At 45.4% G+C, this 24,723-nt stretch overlaps 1 protein-coding gene across 4 annotated transcripts in view; it reads left to right on the top strand.

Moving 5' to 3' along the window:
* MUC16 (mucin 16, cell surface associated) overlaps nucleotides 1–24,723 on the top strand; it is a gene marked incomplete in the record, with an annotated part of 216,908 nt that overhangs the window by 188,875 nt on the left and 3,310 nt on the right. For all 4 annotated transcript variants that reach the window (NM_001414686.1, NM_001401501.2, NM_001414687.1 and 1 more), the window contains 14 exon segments: nucleotides 219–343; nucleotides 441–508; nucleotides 5,224–5,396; nucleotides 8,301–8,336; nucleotides 9,863–9,913; nucleotides 10,693–10,814; nucleotides 10,905–10,972; nucleotides 11,121–11,293; nucleotides 13,451–13,581; nucleotides 13,937–14,004; nucleotides 15,729–15,877; nucleotides 18,126–18,277; nucleotides 18,606–18,673; nucleotides 20,737–20,903. In NM_001414686.1, the coding sequence (NP_001401615.1) occupies nucleotides 219–343; nucleotides 441–508; nucleotides 5,224–5,396; nucleotides 8,301–8,336; nucleotides 9,863–9,913; nucleotides 10,693–10,814; nucleotides 10,905–10,972; nucleotides 11,121–11,293; nucleotides 13,451–13,581; nucleotides 13,937–14,004; nucleotides 15,729–15,877; nucleotides 18,126–18,277; nucleotides 18,606–18,673; nucleotides 20,737–20,903 (1,551 nt within the window).

Here is a 24,723-nt window from a genome sequence, read left to right as displayed (position 1 = left end):
GCATTTGGGTAGAAGGACCCCATCTGGACATCCCAAATCATTAAGCACACCCTTACTGGCTGCTGGAGTTGTCTCCATTAAAAGTCACCGTTGGGTTTATTAAGAGGCGGACACAGGGTCCTTAGAACACACTGCCCCCACCCTGTCCCACACCACCCCCCACCCACCCATCATCCTCCCCAAGAGCTTCATCTCTCTCTCTCTTCCCCCTGCCCTAGCCGGGGTGGTCAGCGAGGAGCCATTCACACTGAACTTCACCATCAACAACCTGCGCTACATGGCGGACATGGGCCAACCCGGCTCCCTCAAGTTCAACATCACAGACAACGTCATGCAGCACCTGGTGAGAGGCCTGCCTCCCGCTGCAGCCCTGCCATGCCCATCCTAGGGCTGTTGCCTGCCTGCCTCTGACCAACCCAAGCTCCCTTCTCCCTCTGCAGCTCAGTCCTTTGTTCCAGAGGAGCAGCCTGGGTGCACGGTACACAGGCTGCAGGGTCATCGCACTAAGGTGAGAAACTCCCCCACCCACAGCGCACCACCAAGAACTTAGAGTTCTGACTGGGAGGTCCCTCTTGGGTTGGGGTGGGCTACATATTTTTTTAAATCTTTTTATCTTTCCTTTTTTTTTTTTTGAGATGAAGTTTCGCTCTCGTTGCCCAGGCTAGAGTGCAATGGCACGATCTTGGCTCACTGCAACCTCTGCCTCCCGGGTTCAAGTGATTATCCTGCCTCAGCCTCCCCAGTAGCTGGGATTACAGGCAGGCACCACCATGCCTGGCTAATTGTTTTGTATTTTTAGTAGAGATGGGGTGTCTCCATGTTGATCAGGCTGGTCTTGAACTCCTGACTTCAGGTGATCCACCCTCCTCAGCCTCCCAAAGTGCTGGGATTACAGGCGTGAGCCACCATATCTGGCCCCATTCTTTTTTTTTAAATGAATTTAAGGAGTGCAAATGCAGTTTTTGTTACATGCATATATTCCATAGTGAAGTCTGCAGACAGTAGACTTCCAGACAGTAGCTTCTGGTGTATCACCCGAATAGTGTACATTGTACTTATTAAGTGAGGTTCCCCACCCTTCTCCCACTCTCCCACCTTTCTGAGTATCCAGTGTCTATTATTCCACACTCCAGGTCCATGCTCTCACGTATAAGTGAGAACGTATGGTATTCCACCATGAGCTAATGGACATGGAGTCCATTGGCTCCCACTTATAAGTGAGAGCATGCGGTATTTGACTATTTCTGAGTTTCACTTAAGATAATGGACTCCCATTCCATCCATGTTGCTGCAAAATACATGATTTCACTCTTTTTATGGCTGAATAGTATTTCGTGGTATATATATATACCACATTTTCTTTATCCAGTCTTCTACTGATGGACACTTAGGTTGGGTCCATACCTTTGCTGTGAATAGTGCTGCAATAAACATACACGTGCAGGTGTCTTTTTTATATAATGATTTCTTTTTTTCTTTCTTTTTTTTTGATATAACGATTTCTTTTATTGGGTAGATCCCCAATAGTGGGATTGCTGGGTCAAATGGTAGTTCTACATTTTTGTTCTTTGAGAAATCCTCATACCATTTTCCATAGATTGTACTAATTTGGATTCCCACCAACAGTGTATAAGAGTTCCCTTTTCTTTTATTCTTGCCAGCATCTGGTTGTTTGTTGTTTGTTTGGTTGGTTGGTTGGTTTTTGTCTTTTTAGTAATAGTTATTCTGACTGGTATTAATAACTTTTTTATTTATTCATGACAGTTTGATTTTTGACATATAAAAATTGCTTGCATTTAAAGTGTACAACTTGATATTTTGGTATACATTGTTAAATCATGGCCACATTTCAGCTAATTAATATATCTATTATCTCTACATAGTTATCATGTTTGTACCCTTTGACCAGCATCACCCCATTTGCTCCTCCTCCCAGCCCCTGGCAACCACCATCCTACTCTCTGCTTCTATGAGTCTGACAATTTTAGATTCCACCTATAAGTTAGATTATGCGGTATTTGTCTTTCTGTGCCTGGCTTATTTCACTTAGCCTAATGTCCTCCAGCTCCATCTATGTTATCCCAAGTGGCAGGATTTTCATCTTTCTTATATATTTCATTGTATATGTGTATGCCACATTTTCTTTACCCATTCATCCATTGAAGGTCATTTAGCTTGTTTCCATATCTTGGCTATTTTGAATAGTGCTGCAATGAACATAGGAGTGCAGATATCTCTTTAAGATACTGGTTTCATTTCTTTCTTTCTTCTCTTTTTTTTTTTTCTGAGACAGAGTCTGACTCTGTCGCTCAAGCTGGAGTACAGTGGTGCAATCTTGGCTCACTGCAAACTCTGCCTCCTGAGTTCAAGCGATTCTCGTGCCTCAACCTCCCAGGGAGTTTTGCTCTTGCTGCCCAGGCTGAAGTGCAGTGGTGCAATCTTCACTCACCACAACCTGTGCCTCCCGGGTTCAAGCGATTCTCGTGCCTCAGCCTCCCAGGTAGCAAGGATTACAGGCGCCCAACACCACACCAGGCTAAATTTTTTTGCATTTTTAGTAGAGACGGGGTTTTGCCATGTTGGCCAGGCTGGTCTCAAATTCCTGGCCTCAAGTGATCCACCTGCCTCAGCCTCCTGAAGTGCTGGGATTTTACAGGCATGAACCACCACACATGGCCTCATTTCTTTTAGATATATATGGGTTGAGCTATTCTCAGAGGGTCCTTTTCTGCATCTATTTAAGATCACATTTTTTTTATATTGTGGCAAAAATACATGTAACATAAAATCTGCCATTTTAACCATTTTTAAATGTACAATTCAGTGACATTGATTATATTCACAATGTCATACAGCCATCACCACTATTTATTTCTAATACTTTTCCATTGGGTAGATCCCCAACAGTGGGATTGCTGGGTCAAATGGTAGTTCTGATTTTTTTTTTTTGTTTTTTGAGAAATCTCCATACTGTTTTTCATTTGAGGTTGTACTAATTTACATTCCCACCAACAGTGTATAAGAGTTTCCTAGGCCGGGCATGGTGGCTTATGCCTGTAATCCCAGCACTTTGCGAGGCCCAGGTGGGTGGATCATGAGGTCAGGAGATCGAGACCACCCTGGCTAACATGGTGAAACCCCGTCTCTACTAAAAATGCAAAAAATTAGCCGGGCGTGGTGGCGGGTGCCTGTAGTCCCAGCTACTGGAGAGGCTGAGGCAGGAGAATGGCATGAACCCTGAAGGCGGGGCTTGCAGTGAGCTGAGATCGCACCACTGCACACTTCAACCTAGGCGACAGAGCGAGACTCCATCTCAAAAAAAAAAAAAAAAAAAAAGGTTTCCTTTCAGTGCATCCTTGCCAACTTGAGTTTTCTGGGTTGGTTTGCACTCTCATGGTATTTACTAGATACTTCTCCATTTATATTTTTACTCAACCCATGCCCATAACACCACTCCTCTACCATTCCCACCAACCATGTATAAGAGTTCCTTTTCTTGCATCCTTGCCAACTTGACTTCTTTGGGTCAGTTTGCACTCTCTTGGTATTTACTATTTACTTCTCCATTTATATTTTTAGTCAACTGATGCCCATGGCACCGCTCCTCTGAGGCAGGTGCTGGGTACTAGAGTGATAAGACAGATGCTGTCCCTGCCCTCACCCAGTGGAGAAGAACAGATGCTAAACAGGAACATAAATATCTAAGTAAAATGGCTTCAAATGGAGTAAAGTGATATGAAACATAAATAAATAGCAAGTGATGGGTAGAGCAACTTTACCCAGGATGAATCTTGGGCTGTGTCCCAAATGGCCATGAAAACTGTTCCAGGCAGGGAGAACAGCATGAGAAAAGGTCTTGAGGTGCAAATGAGCTTGGCATGTTCTATGAACAGCAAAGAGGCCAGTGTGGCTGGAGCAGAGAGAGAGCAAGAAGAAAAGAGAGAAAGGATGAGACTCAAGACATCAGCAAGTTTGAAGGGCCTTGGAGGACTTGGATTTTTTTTTTTAAGACAGCTTTGTTCTTGTTGCCCAGGCATGATCTCGGCTCACCACAACCTCCGCCTCCTGGGTTCAAACGATTCCTCTGCCTCAGCCTCCCGAGTAGCTGGGGTTACAGGCATGTGCCACCACACCTGGCTAATTTTGTATTTTTAGTAGAAATGGGGCTTCTCCATGTTGGTCAGGCTGGTCTCGAACTCCCGACCTCAGGTGATCCGACCGCCTCGGCCTCCCAAAGTGCTGGGATTATAGGTGTGAGCCACTGCACCTGGCTTGGATTTTTTTTTTCTATATTGTGGTAACATACACATCACATTAAATTGATCATTTTAGCTATATTTCCCGTTCAGTGGCATCAAGCACATTCACATTATTGTGCAACCATCACCACTATCATCCATCTCCAGAACTTTCTCATCTTCCCAAACTGAAACTCCATCCCCATGAAACACTCATTCCTCATCCCCCTCCTCAAGCCTCTGGCACCCACCATTCTACTTTCTGTCTCTGTGAATCTGATGATTCTGAGGACCTCCTATGAATGGAGGAATCATATGGTATATGTCCTGGTTTATACTGTATGGCTGGCTTATTTCACCAAGCATAATGTCCTCAAAGTTCATCCATGTTGTAGCATGTGTCAGAATTCCCTTCCTTTTCCACTTGTATGTAAATGCTGTATTGTGTTTCTCCATTCATTAGGACTTTGATTTTTGCAGGGAGTTGTCAAGGGGTGCTGGGTTCTGGGGCTTCAATATAATAAGAGTAAGCTAAACTGGTTCATTTCCTCCTTCGTGGAGACCATGTTCTGGTAGGAACAGGAACAAATAATTTATGATTACATAGAGGGTGACCAGGGCAGTGACAGGGGAAGAGTGGAGGATTGTGGGACCCAGAGGAGGCTCCTGACCTTGCCTAGGAAGATAGGAGGAGGAAGAGGAGGAGGAAGAGGAGGAGGAAGAGGAGGAGGAGGAGGAGGAGGGAGTCCTCTAAGCTGAGACCTGGAGGATGACCAGGAAGTTATCCAGGTAAGGAGAAATGGGGAGAAGCTTCCAGACAAAAGTAACAGCAATTGCAAAGATCCTGAGATGATAGATAAGGTCAGGTGGAGAAAGTGCAAACTGTCAATGAGACCAAAATATGGACTGTGAGTTGTGCAGTGACCACAAGTGGAGAGGTGCTAGGTGGCCTTCATCCCCCAAAGCTGCACCTCTCCCTCCTCAGGTCTGTGAAGAACGGTGCTGAGACACGGGTGGACCTCCTCTGCACCTACCTGCAGCCCCTCAGCGGCCCAGGTCTGCCTATCAAGCAGGTGTTCCATGAGCTGAGCCAGCAGACCCATGGCATCACCCGGCTGGGCCCCTACTCTCTGGACAAAGACAGCCTCTACCTTAACGGTGAGCAGCTATCAGCCCCATCTCCCTGCCCCACCCCCCAGCCCCCACTGCAGTCCAGGAGGGTGTCTGTTTGCCGGTTCTCTAGGGAAAGACTTGGGGTTCAAGTCTTGGCATTACCACTGGCCCTCCCATAACCACAATGCAAGGTTGGACTTTGATTAATCCCATTTTACAGATGAAGAAACTGAGGCTTAGACAGGCTAAGCAATTTACCTTGACAGTGGTGGAACCAGGATATGAACTCCACTTGTCAGCATTCGGTGCTATGATCCACTCCACATGTTTAACTCACAGAAGAGTCTTCCTGGTGGGGGCACTTGGGGGACAAAAAACACATTTCCGGCTGTGAGCAGTGGCTCACACCTGTAATCCCAGCACTTTGGGAGGCCAAGGCGGGCGGATCACAAGGTCAAGAGATTGAGACCACCCTGGACAACATAGTGAAACCCTGTCTCTACTAAAAATACAAAAATTAGCTGGGTGTGGTGGCGCACGCCTGTAGTCCCACCTACTCGGGAGGCTGAGGCAGGAGAATCGCTTGAACCCAGAAGGCAGAGGTTGCAGTGAGCCAAAATTGTGCCATTGCACTCCAGCCTGGTGACAGAGCAAGACTCTGTCTCAAAACAAAACAAAACAATTTCCCCTCCCTGCTTTCTTCTCACCATTGACGAGGGATGGGCTTCTCTCCTACCTGAGGCCCCCTATACCAGGAAGATCTATGGGATCTAATCTTCAGGCACACTGGGCCTCAGCATTGGTCTAGAACTCAGGATAAGATAGCATTTAAGAAGGCATCCCCTAAATGGGGTTCTGAGAGGCAAAGCATGACCGTGGAGAATTGACAAAATAGCTCGCCTTTCATCCCCTCCACCGCCAACCCAAGAACAGTGCTTATCATCATGACCCCATGAGGTGGGCACCCCATATCACTTATATGAGGTACCTTTAGGTAGGTACCGGGATGTGGAGAGACATCCTGGGCTTTCATTACTCTTATTTTAGCAAAGAGGGAAACTGAGGCACAGAGAAGGGAAGGGACTTGCCCATGCCCACAGCGAGTTTTTGGCTAGTCTGGGTCTTGATGTTCTTTATTATTATTATTACTATCCTCCTCATGATCATCGTTGTATGTATACAGTTATGGGGTACAAGTGCAATTTTGTTACATGCATAGATGGCACAGTAGTGAAGTCAGAGCTTTCAGAGTATCCACCACTCCAATAACATACATTGTATCCATTTAGTCCTTTCTCATCATCCACCTTGCTCCTACCCCCTCACCCTTCCAAGCCCCCTTTATCTATCATTCCCCTCTCTGAGTTCTTGTCTACACATTGTTTAGCTCCCACTTATGATTGAGAACATGTGATATTTGTCTGTCTGTGTCTGACTTGTTTCACTTAAGGTAACTTCAGTTTCATCCATGTTGCTGCAAAAGACATGGATTCATTCTTTTTTTCTAACTTTTAAGTTCAGACATACACGTGCAGATTTTCTATATGGTTAAACTCATGTCACAGGGGTTTGTTGTACAGATTATTTCATCACCACCCAAGTATTAAGCCTAGTACCCATTAGTTATTTTTTCTGATCCTCTCCCTCCTCCCACCCTCCACCCGCCACCCGCCACCCTCCAACCTCAGGCAGGCCCCAGTGTGTGTTGTTCCCCTCTATGTGTCCATGTGTTCTCATCATTTAGCTCCCACTTATAAGTGAGAAGAGGCAGTATTTGGTTTTCTGTTCCTGCATTAGTTTGGTAAGGATAATGACCTCCAGCTCCAACCATGTTCCTGCAACGGACATGATCTCATTCTTTTTTATAGCTGCATAGTATTCCATGGTGTATATGTTCCTCATTTTCTTTATCCAGTCTATCCTTGATGGGCATTTAAGTAGATTCCATGTCTTTGCTATTGTGAATAGTGCTTCAGTGAACAGGTGTCTTTATGATAGAAAAATTTATATGCCTTTGGGCATATATGCAGTGATGAGATTGCTGGGTCAGACGGTAGTTCTGTTTTTAGCTCTTTGAGGAATCATCCTGCTGCTTTCTACAGTGGATGAACTAATTTACACTCCCACCAACAGTGTATAAACACTCCTTTTTATCTGCAACCTCAGCAGCATGGTTTTATTTCTCTTTATGGCTGAATAGTGTTCCATTGTGCATATATACCACACTTTCTTTATGGATTCATCTGCTGATGGACATATAGGTTGATTCCACATCTCTGCTATTGTGAATAGTGCTGTGATAAACACACAGGTGCGGGTTGGGTCTTGATGATCTCAGTTAACATCCAGTCCCTTCAACTTGGCTATTGCAGGGAGCTGTTCCCCCTTGTAAACTGCACAGCTTATGTGCTTCATTTTGTTCCTTCATTTAGATTTACCAAGCAGCTACTATTAACCAGGCCACAATGTGCCTCGCCCCAGGAACAGAGATAGGTTACATGTGCATCCTGTCCTAATGTAATCTCCAGGGGGGCGGAGACTGTTTTGTTCTACCCTATATTCCCCAAATGTAAAGGGAGCCTTGCACATACTAAGCCCTTAATAAACATTCATTGGGTGGAGGAATAGATTGGAGGAGGCCTGGAAGGGGAGGCGGGGGTTATGGATGGATAGGAGGATAGACTTGTGAACACAAAGGTAGTGAGAGCCTCTCATTGGAGGCATGCTGGAGACGTGAGTAGGGAAGGGTCAGTGCTAATTGAAATATCAGGAAATTCTTTCTAGTGGTGAACACATTTAAGTCAAATATTAGATGATACATAAATGTATCCATAATCTCTAGATACACAAAGGGAAAGGCATCCAGGCAGGGGCCCCATATGGACAAAGGCATGGAGTATCTGGGACGGTTCCACCACCTCCTCTTACGTGTGACTTCTTTGTTTCAAGGTTACAATGAACCTGGTCCAGATGAGCCTCCTACAAGTACGTGTCTTTGAATCTAGTGCCCATTTCAATCTCCATGGGTCTTGGTTCAAGCTTTTCTCCTCATTCATGAAGGAAGGTTGCCCCAAATTCGGGCTGGTCCCCTGAGGTGGTGAGGGGCATTGTCTCAGTGGGAGGAAGAATGCTGAGTCCTTGGCCTGTTTTTAGACCTGCAGCCATAGTCTTGGCTTTGTGAATTTTCCATGTCCCTCTGGGTTGGAGGAAGAAGTTTGAACAAGCATTCCCTACAGGGATAGAGGTTGAGGTCAGATGATGACCTTGTTAGTCTGTACCTCCTGATAAGAAAATCTCCTCCAAGTGCCCCAGCAGAGGCTTCATGGTCAAGCTGCAGACTCTGCTGGCTACTGGTTTTGGCTAAATTTGCCCATTGCCTCATCCAGTGATCCACTCGTCTATCTTTCCAGCCATCCATTTTTCTATCCTTCCAGTCATCTCTCAGACACCACCTGTCCTTCCATCCATCCATCCGTCCATCCATTTACCCATCCATCCATCCACCCCATTTTCCTGACCATTTACCTCCTCGTCCTTCCTTCCATCTGTCCTTTTATCCATCTATTCATCCATCACCCATCCTCCTGCCCATTCACCTGCTTGTCCCTCCTTTCTTCTGTCCTTCTATACATCCATCCATCCATCCATCCATCCATCCACCCATCCACTCATCCACCACCCACCCATCCTTCTGCCCACTCACTCGCTAGCCCCTCCTTCCTTCTGTCCTTCCATCCATCCATCCACCCATCTTCCTGCCCATTCACCTGCTTGTCCTTCCTTCTATCTGTCTTTTATCCATCTCTCCATCCATCCACCATCCATCCATCCATCCTTCTCCCTATTCACTGGTTTGTCTTTCCTTCTGTCCTTCCAACCATCCACCCATCTCTCCATTCATTCTCCTCTTCATTCACCTGTTTCCTTATTTCTGTCTTTCCATCCATCCATCTATCCAGCCAGCCATCTCTCCCCCCATTCTCCTCCCCATTCACTCAATTGTCCTTCCTTCCATCTGTCCTTTTATCCATCCATCCACCCATCCATCCATCCATCTATCCTTCTCCCCATTCACCTGTTTGTCCTTCTTTCTGTCCTTCCAACCATCCATCCATCCATCATCCATCCATCTATCCTTTTCCCCATTCACCTGTTTGTCCTTCCTTCTGTCCTTCCAACCATCCCTCCATCTCTCCATCCATCCTCCTGCCTATTCATCTGCTTGTCTTTCCTTCCTTCTGTCCTTCCATCCATTCATCCATCTGCCCATCCACCCACTCATCCTCTTGCCCATTCACCTGCTTGTCCTTCCTTCCACCTGTCCTTTTATCCATCCATCCATCCATCCATCTTGCTCACTCCTCCACTCACACAATCACTCCTTCCCTCAGTCTCATTTATGGCCCACCTGTGAATGGTTGTCCTGGCTTGGACCACTGATGAAGCCCAGGGGAGCTTCTCCCACTAGGTGGTGGGCTTTTGTCCTCTCTGATGGACTGTTCCTTCCACAGCTCCCAAGCCAGCCACCACATTCCTGCCTCCTCTGTCAGAAGCCACAACAGGTATTTGGGGCCATTTTTCCTCCTCGAAGATTAGAATAGCATTTCAATCAGACACCTGCCCTCGTGGAGTCCCAGATTTTATGAAATAAATAGACCATCATAATGTCAGATGTTTTGGGGTGAGATACCTGGCATAGTTGGGAAGGAGGAGGGCTTTCTGGAGAAAGTTTCACCTGAACTGAGTCTTTAAGGATGACTAAGAGTGATTCAGGCAAATAGGGCATGAATAGTATAACTGAAAGAGGGGAATCTGTGAGCAAAGCCTCAGTGGCCAGAAACAGCATAGAGTATAGGGAGAAGTGAGAGAAATTTGGTTTGCATGAAACATAAAGCTTAACCCAGAGTGGATGGATAAGTGAGACTGAAAGGTCAGCAGGAGCCAGATTGGGAAGGGCCTTGAATGCCAAGTCAAGAAATTTGAACTTAACACTGAAGGCCATAGGGAGCTGTGGATGGTACTAGAGCAGGGGCAGCCATAGTGAGATTGTCATTTCAGAAAGATTCTTCTTGTGTTCAGTATAGAGAATGTCCTTTAGACAGGGCATCCAGTGAGTCTGCCAGGTGCTAATCAGGGTGAGAGAAAATAAGACCTGAACTGGGATAGGGGAGGAGAGAGAGGATATATGTGATGAATATTCAGTAAAGAGAATTGGTGTTACTTGGAGGGGAGAAGACACATAGCTTCTGACTTGGATGGCCACACTAGTTAATAATGAGCGCAGTCTGATCTAGTCTCAGACCAGCCCTCAGTTGCAGACGTCTCTCCTCCCCTCCTGCAGCCATGGGGTACCACCTGAAGACCCTCACACTCAACTTCACCATCTCCAATCTCCAGTATTCACCAGATATGGGCAAGGGCTCAGCTACATTCAACTCCACCGAGGGGGTCCTTCAGCACCTGGTGAGACCCTGGTCCCAGCAGCTCCTGGTGGGATAAATCCTACCCCCAACCTCTGTTCCTCGGCTTACCCTCTTCCTCCTTCCTCTCAAGCTCAGACCCTTGTTCCAGAAGAGCAGCATGGGCCCCTTCTACTTGGGTTGCCAACTGATCTCCCTCAGGTGAGACCACTTCCTGGCCATTTGCCAGTAACAACCACCCCTTTTGTGACCACCCCTTCCTCAGCTTTCCCCTGCTCCTCCCTCCACTGCTCTTTACCTGCAGAGGTCTCGGGACCTCTCTAGAGTCCTCAAATGCCTCTCTCCCCAGGCCTGAGAAGGATGGGGCAGCCACTGGTGTGGACACCACCTGCACCTACCACCCTGACCCTGTGGGCCCCGGGCTGGACATACAGCAGCTTTACTGGGAGCTGAGTCAGCTGACCCATGGTGTCACCCAACTGGGCTTCTATGTCCTGGACAGGGATAGCCTCTTCATCAATGGTGAGTGTCAGGCTGAACTTGGATTTACAGTGACTTTTGGGGAGTTGGTTTCTTTGTTTTTGAGATGGAGTCTCACTCTATCACCCAGGCTGGAGTGCAATGGTGCAATCTTGGCTCTGCAACAGTGATTCTCCTGCCTCAGCCTCCCAAGTAGCTGGGATTTACAGGTGCATGCCACCACGCTCAGCTAATTTTTGTATTTTTAGTAGAGATGGGGTTTCACCATGTTGCCCAGGCTGGTCTCGAACTCCTGACCTCAGGTGATCCACCTGCCTTGGCCTCCCAAAGTGCCAGGATTACAGGCATGAGCCACCATGCCCGGCCCACCATGACTATTATTTGTCCCTGTTGTATGCCCTTTCCTCTCTAAAAAAAATAGCCCAAGGCCTGGCTGGGGGACACCCTTCCCCAAACCACCAAGGGGAGGGTCTTTCCCATTATTTTGAGTAAATAGCATGAAATTCTTTGACCAAATTAATGTCATAAATTGTTTGTCTCTTTCTCCTTCACTTTTGTTTCCAACTTGGTTGCGGTATAACTATCAAATACAATTGTATGTATTTAAGATGTATAATGCAGTGATTTAATATATGTGTAGCTTATGAAATGATTACCATGATCAAATTAGTTAACACTGCTTTCATGTCACATAGTTACCGTGTGTCTGTGTGCGTCTGTGTGAGTTAGAGAGAAAGAGAACATTTAAGGTCTACCCTCATAGAAAATTTCAGGTTTACAATACAGTATTATTAACTATAATCATCAAGCTTTATACTCGATCCCCAGAACTTATTCATCTTGTAACTAAAAGTTTGTATTTTGTGACCAACATCTCCCCATTTTCTCTATCACCACCCCCATGCCCCCAGCCCCTGATAACCATCATGCTACTCTCTGCTTCTGTAAGTTTGACTTCTGATCCCACATATAAGTGAGATCATGCAGTATTTGTTTCTCTCTATCTGGTATATTTCACTTAGCATAATGAACCCCCCCCAGGTACATCCATAATGAATTTCAATTCAAAACCCAAGTGGCTGAGTCGTGGCATCCTTTGGGACAGGATAGCAGGTCCCTTCTATATAAGGATCCTCTGTGTCAGTGGTTATTACCAGGGGACAATTCTGCACTTCTGCCCCACCCCACCCCCCAACTGGGAGACTCTAGGCAATATCCGAAATCATTTTTGGGTATCACAACTCAGGGAGGGAAGGAGGGTGCAACTGGCACCTAGTGGGTCGGTAGCCCATTTTCCAGTGCACAGGAGACAACCACCCCAGGGAATGATCCAGCCCCAAATGCCAATAATTTCAAGGGTGAGAAATCCTGTTGTACATGGTCTCAAAGTTCTTAGGTGGGCACAAGGCTGACATTTATCACACTTTACTGTAATTACTTGTTAAATTATCTGATTCCCCCTTACCCTGTGAACTCAACAAAATTACGGTCTATTATGAGTGCCACTGTACCCTCGGTTCGCAGTACATCAGCACATCATAGTATGGAAAGAATCATTGAATGAGTGAGCAAATTAAAGATTTGTGTCTCTGCTGTAACTCACATTCATTAATTCATTCATTCAGCAAACATATATGGGTGGCTGTTCTGCCCCAAGCCTTGTACTGGGTCTGGAGATAGAAGACACATTTTTCTGTCTCTGAAAAACTCATACTCAAGTTAACAACAAATTACGGGCACAACAAAGACCCCACTGCTGTTATTAACAGGGTACTATGGGAGCTGAGAGGAGGAGTAAATTAAGGAGGGCTTCCTGGAGGAGGGTGTTATATACCCGGCCCTGTGCCGGGACACAATAATGAATAAGACAGACTTGGGCCTCTGCTGTCCTGGAGCTCCCTCTCACTGGGCTCTTGAAGCGTGAGCAGGAGTTTTGCAGGAAATGAAAAGGATGCATTCCTAGAAGTGGGAACTGCATAGCACATGCAGGAAAGCTCAGCTCAGAAGAATCTGTGTAATATTCCATTTTTCCCTCTCTTTGGGGCAACTTTCTGTCTAAGAGCTCCTGCAATGCCCAGCGTGTGGACCTGAAATTGATTCTGACAGTAGGCAGGGGACTGCTGGGCAACTTTGGCTCTGCATTTTGTGATCAACATTTCCCCACCATATGTTGCCTTTTCTTCTTCTCTGTGGCTCCAGGCTATGCACCCCAGAATTTATCAATCCGGGGCGAGTACCAGATAAATTTCCACATTGTCAACTGGAACCTCAGTAATCCAGACCCCACATCCTCAGAGTACATCACCCTGCTGAGGGACATCCAGGACAAGGTGGGGCATCTCTCACCCCTCCCGTCTTCTCTGTCCTGTGTGCTTCTCTCCCTCTTCTACCTGATTTCTCTGTTAAGTGATCACTTTAAATGCTTCACTTCACTATGTATTCTGGGTTCTCTCTCAGTTTCCAAAAGTACTCTCTTGACTACCATTCCCATTTCACAGATGGGCAAACTGAGGCTCAGAAAGGGGCGTGGTGTGCCTAGGGTCATACAGTGCTTTAGGAACAGAGTTAGGATTTGAACTCTGGTCCCCTTTGCTCCAAGTCCTGTGTTTTTTTCCACTGGCATCAGCGGCCCCTCCACCCCCAAGAGGCCTCCATCTCACCCACTCTCCCTACCCATCTTTCTAGGTCACCACACTCTACAAAGGCAGTCAACTACATGACACATTCCGCTTCTGCCTGGTCACCAACTTGACGTAAGTTCTGAAGGTCATAAGCAGTGACCAAGCTTGTGGCTGTGTCTCTGAGCACCCTTGAGCTAGACGTCCCCAGTGGGGTACCCATTCTCCCCTACATCCCTGTCTAGCTAATCCTACCATCTCCTCCCATAAATCCTCAAGGTAGGGAGTGAGGATTAACCTCATGGGGCCACCAACTCCCAGCATACACCTTCTTTTTTTTCTGGACACTTGGGAAAATATAACTTTTTGATGTAGAACTCAAAATATTAGCCCAATAATAATATTTAACATCAACCAGCCTCCTCTCATTTAATTCTCACAACAGAATCTATGAGTTGAGTGCAAAAATCATCCCTATTGTGCAGATGGGAAAACTGAGGGTCAGAAAAGTGAACTTCCCAAGAACTGTCAAAGTTGGGATTTGAACCCAGGTCTCTGATGACTGGATGAAGGAATGAAGATACCTATACTTGGGAAGAGGAGGGTCACAGGACACAGGGCTGACTTTGTATATTTCTAAACTTCAAAGATTTTTGTATTTCAGCTGGGAATATGGAGAAGGTTAATTGGAACAAAAAAATGCAAAGAATGAATAAGACCTAGTATTTGCTAGCACAACAGGGTGACTGTAGTCAAAAATAACTTCACTGTACATTTTAAAATATAACTAAAGGTGTATGCTTGGATTGTTTGCAACACAAAGGATATATGCTTGAGGGGATGGATACCCCATTTACCCTGATGATTATTATGCATTACATGCTTGTATCAAAACATCTCATATACCCCATAAATATAAAAACACCTACTATGTACCCCAAAAAATTAAAAACAAATAAAATCAAAAGTAGGCTGGGCACAGTGGCTCATGCCTGTAATCCCAGCACTTTGGGAGGCCAGGGCAGGTGGATCTCTTGAGCCCAGAAGTTCAAGACCAGCGAGGGCAACATAGGGAGTCCTAGTCTCTACAAAAAATACAAAAATTAGCCAGGCATGGTGGCACACACCTGTAGTCCCAGCCACTCAGGAAGCTGAGGTGGGAGGATCGCCTGAGCCTAGGAGGCTGTACTCCAGCCTGGGTGACAGAGCGAGACTCTATCTCAAAAAATAAAATAAAATAATAAAAAGTAGAAATCAAGAGGGAAAATGTGGGAGAAATTGGGATAATTTTAACAATACCTTCCACCAGAGTGATGATGAAGAATGCATAAGTCACTTCTTAGTGGTCTTGATCTATAAAAAGTGTTCAATAAATATCGATTATTGTTACTGTTATTGCTTCTAGACGTAATTCCTGGAAGCATTTTTTTTTTTTTTTTTTTTGAGATGGAGTCATGCTCTGTTGCTCAGGCTGGAGTGCAGTGGTATGATCTCGGCTCACTACAACTGCCTCCTGGGTTCAAGCAATTCTCCTGCCTCAGCCCCCCATGTAGCAGGGACTACAGGCATGCGCCACCACACCCGGTGAAGTTTTGTATTTTTATTAGAGACAGGGTTTTGCCATGTTGGTCAGGCTGGTCTCGAACTCCTGACCTCAGGCAATTTGCCTGCCTCGGCCTCCCAAAGTGCTGAGATTACAGGCTTGGGCCACTGCATCCAGCCGAAGGCCTCCCATTTTGATCAGAACCCTTCTCTAGACTGAGGGTGGGTGCCTCTAGATCTTTTGCTCTTTAAAGACAGCAACCGATGACCCTGCTGATGCTGAGTACTGGCTGAATTCCTGTGGTCTCTGTCCCTAGGATGGACTCCGTGTTGGTCACTGTCAAGGCATTGTTCTCCTCCAATTTGGACCCCAGCCTGGTGGAGCAAGTCTTTCTAGATAAGACCCTGAATGCCTCATTCCATTGGCTGGGCTCCACCTACCAGTTGGTGGACATCCATGTGACAGGTACAAGGTGGGGTGGCTGGTTTCCTAACTGGAAGAGGTGGGGTTATGAGGAAAGATGGGGCTTCTCGGTACCAGTGGAATTGGTGGAGGCTCTAGAGAGGGAAAGGGAGGCTTTCTGGAGACCCATGTAGGTGACCTCTGGCAGTAGATCATCCAACGAGGCAGGAACAGAACACCAGCCATTGCATCTAAGAGAATAGCTATTTTTACATGTAAAAAGAATTGTGTTGAATGAATGAATCAATAGATCATTTATTTTGAATCAATTTATTGATTCATTCATTTAATTAATGAATAATAAATGATTCAGTACATAATTGATTAATTGATGTAATTGAGAATTGATTTAATTGATTAATTGATCAATTAAAATGATCAATTAAATGAATGAATCAGTAAATGAATAATTCATTCATTCAATAAACAATGGAAGTAGGCCGGGCATGGTGGCTCACGCCTGTAATACCAGTACTTTGGGAGGCCCAGGCAGGCAGATCACGAGGTCAGGAGATTGAGACCATCCTGGCTAACACGGTGAAACCCTGTCTCTACTAAAAATACAAAAAAAATTAGCCAGGCATGGTGGTGGCCACCTGTAGTCGCAGCTACTCGGGAGGCTGAGGCAGGAGAATGGCGTGAACCCGGGAGGCAGAGCTTGCAGTGAGCCGAGATCGCGCCACTGCACTCCAGCCTGGGCGACAGATGGAGACTCTGTCTCAAAAATAAATAAATAAATAAAAATAAAAAATAAATAAACAATGGAAGTAAACACGTACTGATAACACAGTGTGATCATTGCTATGATAAGGGAATTTCAGGGGCCTGTGGGAGCCCCAAGGAGGAACACACAACCTTGTCTTGGAAAGTTTTATGTAGGAAGGGGTGAAGAAGCTGAGATCTGACAGAGAATGGGACCTAGCCAGGGGTAATAGATGGAGAATTGTGCTCCATGCATCTATAACCTAGAAGATAGAAAGAATATGGCATCTGGCCGGGTGCGGTGGCTCACGCCTGTAGTCCCAGCACTTTCAGAGGCTGAGATGGGTGGATCACCTGAGGTCAGGAGTTCAAGACCAGCCTGACCAATATGATGAAACCCCATCTCTGCTAAAAATACAAAAATTAGCCAGGCATGGTGGTGCGTGCCTGTAATCCCAGCCACTTGGGAGGCTGAGAGAGGAGAACTGCTTGAACTCGGGAGGCGGAGGTTGCAGTGAGCCGAGATTGTGCCATTGCACTCAAGCCTGGGCAAAAAGAGCAAAACTGCATTTCAAAAAAAAAAAAAGTGGCATTTTGGGGCAAGTTTAAGAAGATTGGTGTAGCTGGAGCATCCACTTTGATACTGGAGAGGTGACAGTTGAAGCCAAAGATGTGGGCAGAGACTTTGTTGGGCACTGGAATGGCTTGGGGAGGAACATGACACACTCATGAGTTCTGCTTTAGAAAGAAAATGAAATGAATTCTGCTCATCCTCTGGGTGCTGTGTGCAGAATGGAGGGTGGGGGGAGAGAAGAGCAAAGGCAAGAAGACCCTTTAGGAACAATGATCATTAGTTAGAAGACTCTGGGTTTCTCAGCACCTGCAATTGCTGACTACACCCCCAGAGAAACCCAGTCTCTTTTCCCCCATGTTGTAGAGAATTCTTACAATGCTTGGTAGAAAGAGAATTGAACAGGTAGATGGGTGGATGGATACAAGCTGGACAGATGGATGGAGGAAGATCCTCCATCCAATATAGAGCTGTTACCTAAAACCCTCCATCCCACCTTTAAAATCCTAGCTCAGCCAGGCGCGGTGGCTCACACCTGTAATCCCAGCACTTTGGGAGGCCAAGGCGGGTGGATCACCTGAGGTCGGGGGTTCGAGACCAGTCTGACCAACATGGAGAAACCCTGTCTCTATTAAAAATACAAAAAAAAAAAAAAGTTAGCCAGGCAGGGTGGCGCATGCCTGTAATCCCGCTACTCGGGAGGCTGAGGCAGGAGAATGGCTTGCACCCAGGAGGTGGAGGTTGTGGTGAGCCAAGATCACGCCATTACACTCCAGCCTGGGCAAAGAGAGTGAAACTGTCTCAAAAAACAAAACAAATGACCCCCCTGCCAAAAAAAAAAAAAAAAAAAAAGAAAAGAAAAAAAGAAAAGCCTAGCTCAGCTCACACTGTCAGGAATAAGTAAGCTAGCTGGAATCATCTCTTTCTTAAAACCCTGCCTTGATAGTGGATTTTTACATACTTTTTTTTTAATTCTAGAAATGGAGTCATCAGTTTATCAACCAACAAGCAGCTCCAGCACCCAGCACTTCTACCTGAATTTCACCATCACCAACCTACCATATTCCCAGGACAAAGCCCAGCCAGGCACCACCAATTACCAGAGGAACAAAAGGAATATTGAGGATGCGGTGAGAAGGGGGTGGTATGTCCACTCTGTTGCCATGCAGAAACTGACTTATGCATACTGGGTAGCCACAGGGTGACTTTTTATAACAATCCACAAAGACAGGTTCTTATTCCCATTTAATACACAAGCACAGAGAGGTTCAGTAGCTGACCCAAGGTCACACAGCTAAGTCATACCCTAGAAGAGCATGTCCTTTGATATACATACCTGGGCAAGTGGTTGTCATGACAAGAAGCAAAATAGACGGAGAAGTGTGCTCAGTGGCTGAAAATTCTCTGATGCTACTGGGGCCAGGATTCTGACCTAAGAAACATCGCCCTGTCTTTCAGCTCAACCAACTCTTCCGAAACAGCAGCATCAAGAGTTATTTTTCTGACTGTCAAGTTTCAACATTCAGGTAAGTTCTAACTCAGGACCTAATGACTCTAGGAACTTCTGCTGTCCTTTAAATAGAAGTGTCCCCAAGCCATAGCTTTGATGGAAGAGAGCCCTAGAAATAGAGAGCTGTTAACTAAAAACTAGCTTTTTCCTAAAGCTGGAGCCCAACTGGCTTCAACACTCAAGAGAGCTGGTGTAAATCTCAGCAGACATAAAGGTACCTGGTGCTGAGGCCATGGAGTCTAGAGTGTAGAATCTACTACATTAAGACATCAGCTACTGAAATCAGGACCCATGGAAGACGGGGGAAGGAGGGGACTAAAACCAGATTACTTAGAATCTAGCAGCCTAACTGTGCTTTTCAATGAGAGGTATCATTTCCAATGGTGGGGGGTACCAATGATTTTTTTTTTTTGACAACTGCCTTGAGAACAGGCTTTCCTCACTAAACAAATTCTGAATCAGAACAAATAAAGATAAGCCCTGAGAATAGGGCTTTTTCAAGGAGCTGCCAAACAGATCAAATAGTGACTATGTTCTGCAGATTGATGTCTGGAGAACTCTACAGCTATTTTGACTGCTAGGCAGCTGGTTTTCACAGATATCATGATTCTGAGGCTGCCAGTTTTCAAAGTTACCGAGGATCTTGCTGGATGCAGTGGCTTGCGACTGTAATCCCAGCCCTTTGGGAGGCCAAGGTGGGTAGATCGCTTGAGCTCAGGAGTTTGAGACCAGCCTGGGCAATATGGTGAAAACCCATCTCTACAAAAAATACAAAAATCAGCTGAGCATAGTGGCATGTGCTGTAGTCCCAGTTACTTAGGAGGCTGAGGTGGGAGGATGGCTTGAGCCCAGGAGGCAGAGGTTGCAGTGAGCTGACATTGTGCCATGCACTCTAGCCTGGGCAACAGAGCCAAAGCCTGTCTCAAAAAAAAAAAAACAAATAATAATAATAATAAAATACTGAGGATCTTGAAAGAGCACTGTGGAAATAATGCAAGTTAAAATGCCACAAAGCTTGCTCTTTTTACTGAGATTTAACACTTTCCTTAACTAAACACCCCTCGAATTTTTGCAAGCCTTTGGTTCACTTCTAGACTTCTGGAAAAATTGATTTGGACTATTTTGGCCAATGTTCTCATTGATTTTATGGGTATTCAGAAGTTGTTACCCCAACATTCCAGAAATGTTCTCCCTGTGGCTATTACTTTATTTATTTATTTATTTATTTATTTATTTATTTATTTGAGACGGAGTCTCCCTCTGTTGCCCAGGCTGGAGTGCAGTGGCGCAATCTCAGCTCACTGCAACCTCCGCTTCCCAGGTTCAAGCGATTCTCCTGCCTCAGCCTCCCAAGTAGCTGGGATTATGGATGTGCACCACCACACCGGCTAATTTTTGTGTTTTTAGTAGAGATGGGGTTTCACTGTGTTGGCCAGGCTGGTCTCGAACTCCTGATCTCAAGTGATCCACCCGCCTTGGCCTCCCAAAGTGCTGGGATAACAGGCATGAGCCACTGTGCCTGACCTCCCTGTGGCTATTTTTAAATGAATTAAGTGGAATAAAATTAGAAATTCAGTTCTTCTCCCACGCTAGCTGCATTTTAAGCATTTAATAACAACATGAAGCTACTAATGGCTGCATTGTGTAGTGCAGATGTAGAATTTTTTTTTTGTTTTTTGTTTTGTTTTTGAGATGGAGTCTCGCTCTGTCACCAGGCTAGAGTGCAGTGGCGTGATCTCGTCTCACTGCAATCTCTACTCCCCGATTCAAGTGATTCTCCTGCCTCAGCCTCCCAAGTAGCTGGGATTACAGGCACGTGCCACCACACCCAGCTAATATTTGTATGGATGGTCTCAATCTCCTGACCTCGTGATTTGTATGGATGGTCTCGATCTGACCTCATGATCCGCCTGCCTGGGCCTCCCAAAGTGCTGGGATTACAGGCGTGAGCCACTGTGCCCGGCCGACATAGAATGTTTACATCATTGCAGAAAGTTTCTGCAGGAAGAGCCTAGAAGGAGAAAGCCTAGAATCATGATAAAATTGCAGATATCTTTGCTTATCCCTGTCCCCTTCCAGGTCTGTCCCCAACAGGCACCACACCGGGGTGGACTCCCTGTGTAACTTCTCGCCACTGGCTCGGAGAGTAGACAGAGTTGCCATCTATGAGGAATTTCTGCGGATGACCCGGAATGGTACCCAGCTGCAGAACTTCACCCTGGACAGGAGCAGTGTCCTTGTGGATGGTAAAGCTCCCTGGGTCATTGGGACTGAGGTGGAAGCTCCCACTTCCTCACCTGGGTCCTTCCCTGGGAATCTGAAGGCTTGGGGTTGATTCGTCATCGAGCTTTCTCAGACTGGGAGAAAGTGGCTTAGTTCTCCTAAGCTTTACCCATCATTGAAGGAAAGAAAAGGACGCCCGAGGGATATGGGAGGCATTTGCCCTCTTCTGGCCAGCTCTGTGACCTCAGGCTAGTCACATCTCCTTTCTGGACTTCTTATCTCTCTGTACTTAGCAAGCCACTTGGTTTTTGGTTCCCATCTTGCCTGCCCTAGATGGTATTGCTCCTCCACCCCCAGGCAGCTGCAGTGTTAAACAATTACCCTGATTAGTTATTGTTGTTGTGTTGTTTGTTTGTTTTTGAGACAGGGTCTCACTCTGTCACCTAGGCTGGAGTGCAGTGACATGATCTCAGCTCACTGCAACCTCAACCCCTGGACTCAAGCAATCCACCCACTTCAGCCTCCCAAGTAACTGGGACTACAGCCATGCGCCACCACACCCGGATAATTTTTGTATTTTTTCTAGAGATGGGGTTTTGCAACATTGCCCAGGCTGGTCTTGAACTCCTGAGCTCAAGCATGCCACCTGCTTCAGCCTCCCAAAGTGCTGGGATTACAGGCAGGCAGGCACCACTGCAGCTGGTTCTGGTTTTTTGTGTTTGTTTTTTTCTTTTAGAGGCAGGGTCTCGCTCTGTTAACCAGAATGGAGTACAGTGGTGCAATCATAGCTCACTGCAGTCTTGAACTCCTGGGCTCAAGCGATCCTCCCACCTCAGCCTCCTGAGTACCTGGAACTACAGGCACGTGTCACCACGCCTTGCTAATTTCTAAATTTTTTGTAGAGACAGGGTCTCACTATGTTGCCCAGACTGGTCTCTAATTCCTGGCCACAAGTGATCCTCCTGCCTCAGCAGGTCAATGAGGGCTTCCAGTTTCAAGTTGTATGTGATTCATCCTCAACAAATGTGGTAGGATGGACCTATTTTCCAACTCCAGAGATGGCTTCAAGGTGGCTCAACTTTGCATATCCAATTTTACCCATTCAAAGAATAGTTATATACATTGTACCATGTATCAGGAATATAACAGAGAGTAACTGTTTGCTCTTTCACCACTATATTCCAAGAACCCCATATTCTGCCTGGCACATAATAAACACTCAAGTCATATTTGCAGAAGGAATAACTAGATTTCATACAAGGTTCTTTTCAAGTCAAATGCGAATAACGTTTTAGACGGGACCTTCCAATGCCTGTGTGCACTGTCCTTGATTCCGAATTATTGTTGTGCAAGAGAGCACTGTTGATCCTTCAGAATCAACAAGCCTTTCACATGCCTGTCACAGGTTTTTCTTTTTCTTGTTTTACCAATTTTGTTTGTTGTTTGTTTGTTGTTATTGTTTTGTTTTGTTTTTGTTTTTTATTTGTTTTTATTTTTTCTTTTTTTTTGAGACAGAGTCTCGCTCTGTCACCCAGGCTGGAGTGCAGTGGCACGATCTCCGCCCACTGCAAGCTCCGCCTCCTGGGTTCATGCCATTTTCCTGCCTCAGCCTCCTGAGTAGCTGGGACTACAGGCGCCTGCCACCATGTCTGGCTAATTTTTTTTGTATTTTTAGTAGAAACAGGGTTTCACCATGTTGACCAGGATGGTCTCGATCTCCTGACCTCGTGATCTGCCCACCTGGGCCTCCCAAAGTGCTGGGATTACAGGCGTGAGCCACCACACCCAGCCCCAATTTTTTTTTTAATTAAAATTGTTGTCAGCTCACAAGCTTTCTAAAAACAGGCCATGGACCCAGCATCGCTGTAGTTTGCCAAACCTTGCCTTGAATCAGTACCATCCAATAGAACTTTCTGCAGTGATAGAAAATGTTTCTATCTGTGCTATTCAGCACAAAGCCATGTGTGATTACTAAGCTTGAAGTGTGGTTAATGTAACTGAGATACCGAAGTTTTAATTTTATTTAATTTTAATTTAAAAAGCCACTTGTGGCTGCTCCATATTGCACACTACTTTTTAAAATTATTATTTGTATATATTTAAGGGGCACAAGTACAATTTTGTTGCATGGATTTATAGCCCAGTGGGGAAGTCTGGGCTTTTAGGGTATCTATTACCTGAATAATGTACATTGTACCCATTGAGTAATTTCTCATCATCCACTCTCCTCCACTCCCCAACCCTTCCAAGTTTCCACTGTCTATTATTCCACTCTCTATGTCCATGCCTATGCATTATTTAGCATTGACATGTCTATGCATTATTTAGTCAAATACATGTGCTATTTGACTTCCTGTATCTGAGTTGTTTGACTTAAGATAATGACCTTCACTTGCATCCATGTTGCTGCAAAAGACATGATTTCATTCTTTTTTATGCCTGGGTGGTATTGCATTGTGTGTGTGTGTGTGTGTGTGTGTGTAGAGAGAGAGAGAGATCACATTTTCTTTATACAGTCCTCCATTGATGGGCACTTAGGTTGATTCCATATCTTTGCTATTGTGAATAGTTTTGTGATAAACACACAGGTTCAGGTGTCTTTTTGACAAAATTATTTATTTTCCTTTGTGTAGATACCCAGTCGTGGGATTCCTGGATCAAATGGTAGTTTCATTTTTAGTTATTTGAGAAATCTCCACGTTTTTCATAGAGATTATACTAAATTACATTCCCACCAACAGTGTGTAACGGTTCACTTTTCTTGCATCCTTTTTAACATCTGTTATTTTTTGTCTTTTTAGTAACAGCCATTCTGACTGGCGTAAGGTGGTATCTCATCATGGTTTTAATCTGTATTTCTCTGATTATTAGTAATGTCGAGCATTTTTTCATATGCTTGTTAGCCATTGGTATGTCTTCTACATCTTTAAGAAGCTGGCTATGGGCTGGGCGCAGTGGCTCACACCTGTAATCCCAGCACTTTGGGAGGCCGAGGCAGGCGGATCACGAGGTCAGGAGTTAAAAACCAGCCTGGCCAACATGGTAAAACCCTGCCTCTACTAAAAATACAAAAAATTACCCAGGCATGGTGGTGCGCCTGTAATCCCAGCTACTCAGGAAGCTGAGGCAGGAGAATCACTTGAACCCAGGAGGCGGAGGTTGCAGTGAGACGAGATCACATCATTGCACTCCAGCCTGGGTGACAGAGTGAGACTCTATCTTGAGAAAAAAAAAAAGTTGGCTATAACAGGGTTGTAGAAGTAGAGGAACCAGTAACCCTTCTCGCCATGCCTGATGATGGCTTTACATCCCTGTCTTCATGGAGTTTATGCTGTCGTGAGGAATAACAAGAACAGGCAGTTGTCAATTATAAATTATTTGATGTGAACCTATTCATACATGGGTGTGGTCATCAGGGAAGGCTTCCTGGAGGAAATGACATTGAAGGTGAATTCTAAAAGATGACGATAAAACCACCAAGTGAAGGAGAGCTTAAATGTGTTTTTAGGCAGAAGAAAAACCTTTTGGGTGAAAATTTTAAAACTTAGAGAGGTCCCATCAGTTTCCAACTGCGATGATCCATTCTCTCCACCACTGCCCTTGGGCCCAGCCCAATTTAGGTCCACCATGCCCAGAGGCATGAATTTAACTTATGACACTCTTGTGGTGGAATAATGGCTTTGGGCTTATGTAGCCATGTGTCATTTTTTTAGAGATACAAATTGAAATATTTGGGGTGAGATGTCATGGTGTCTACTGGCCTCTAAAACTTCAGTGAAAACATTTACTTTCACTGAAATGTCAATAAATCATAAATTGGATGTATATGTTTTAGTTGGAGGA

This window comes from Homo sapiens, chromosome 19 (assembly GCF_000001405.40).
Source record: "Homo sapiens chromosome 19, GRCh38.p14 Primary Assembly".
In the NCBI taxonomy this organism is placed as follows: domain Eukaryota; kingdom Metazoa; phylum Chordata; class Mammalia; order Primates; family Hominidae; genus Homo; species Homo sapiens.
The sequence above is the reverse complement of the archived record's forward strand: the minus strand, read 5'-3'. Positions and strand labels throughout refer to the sequence as shown.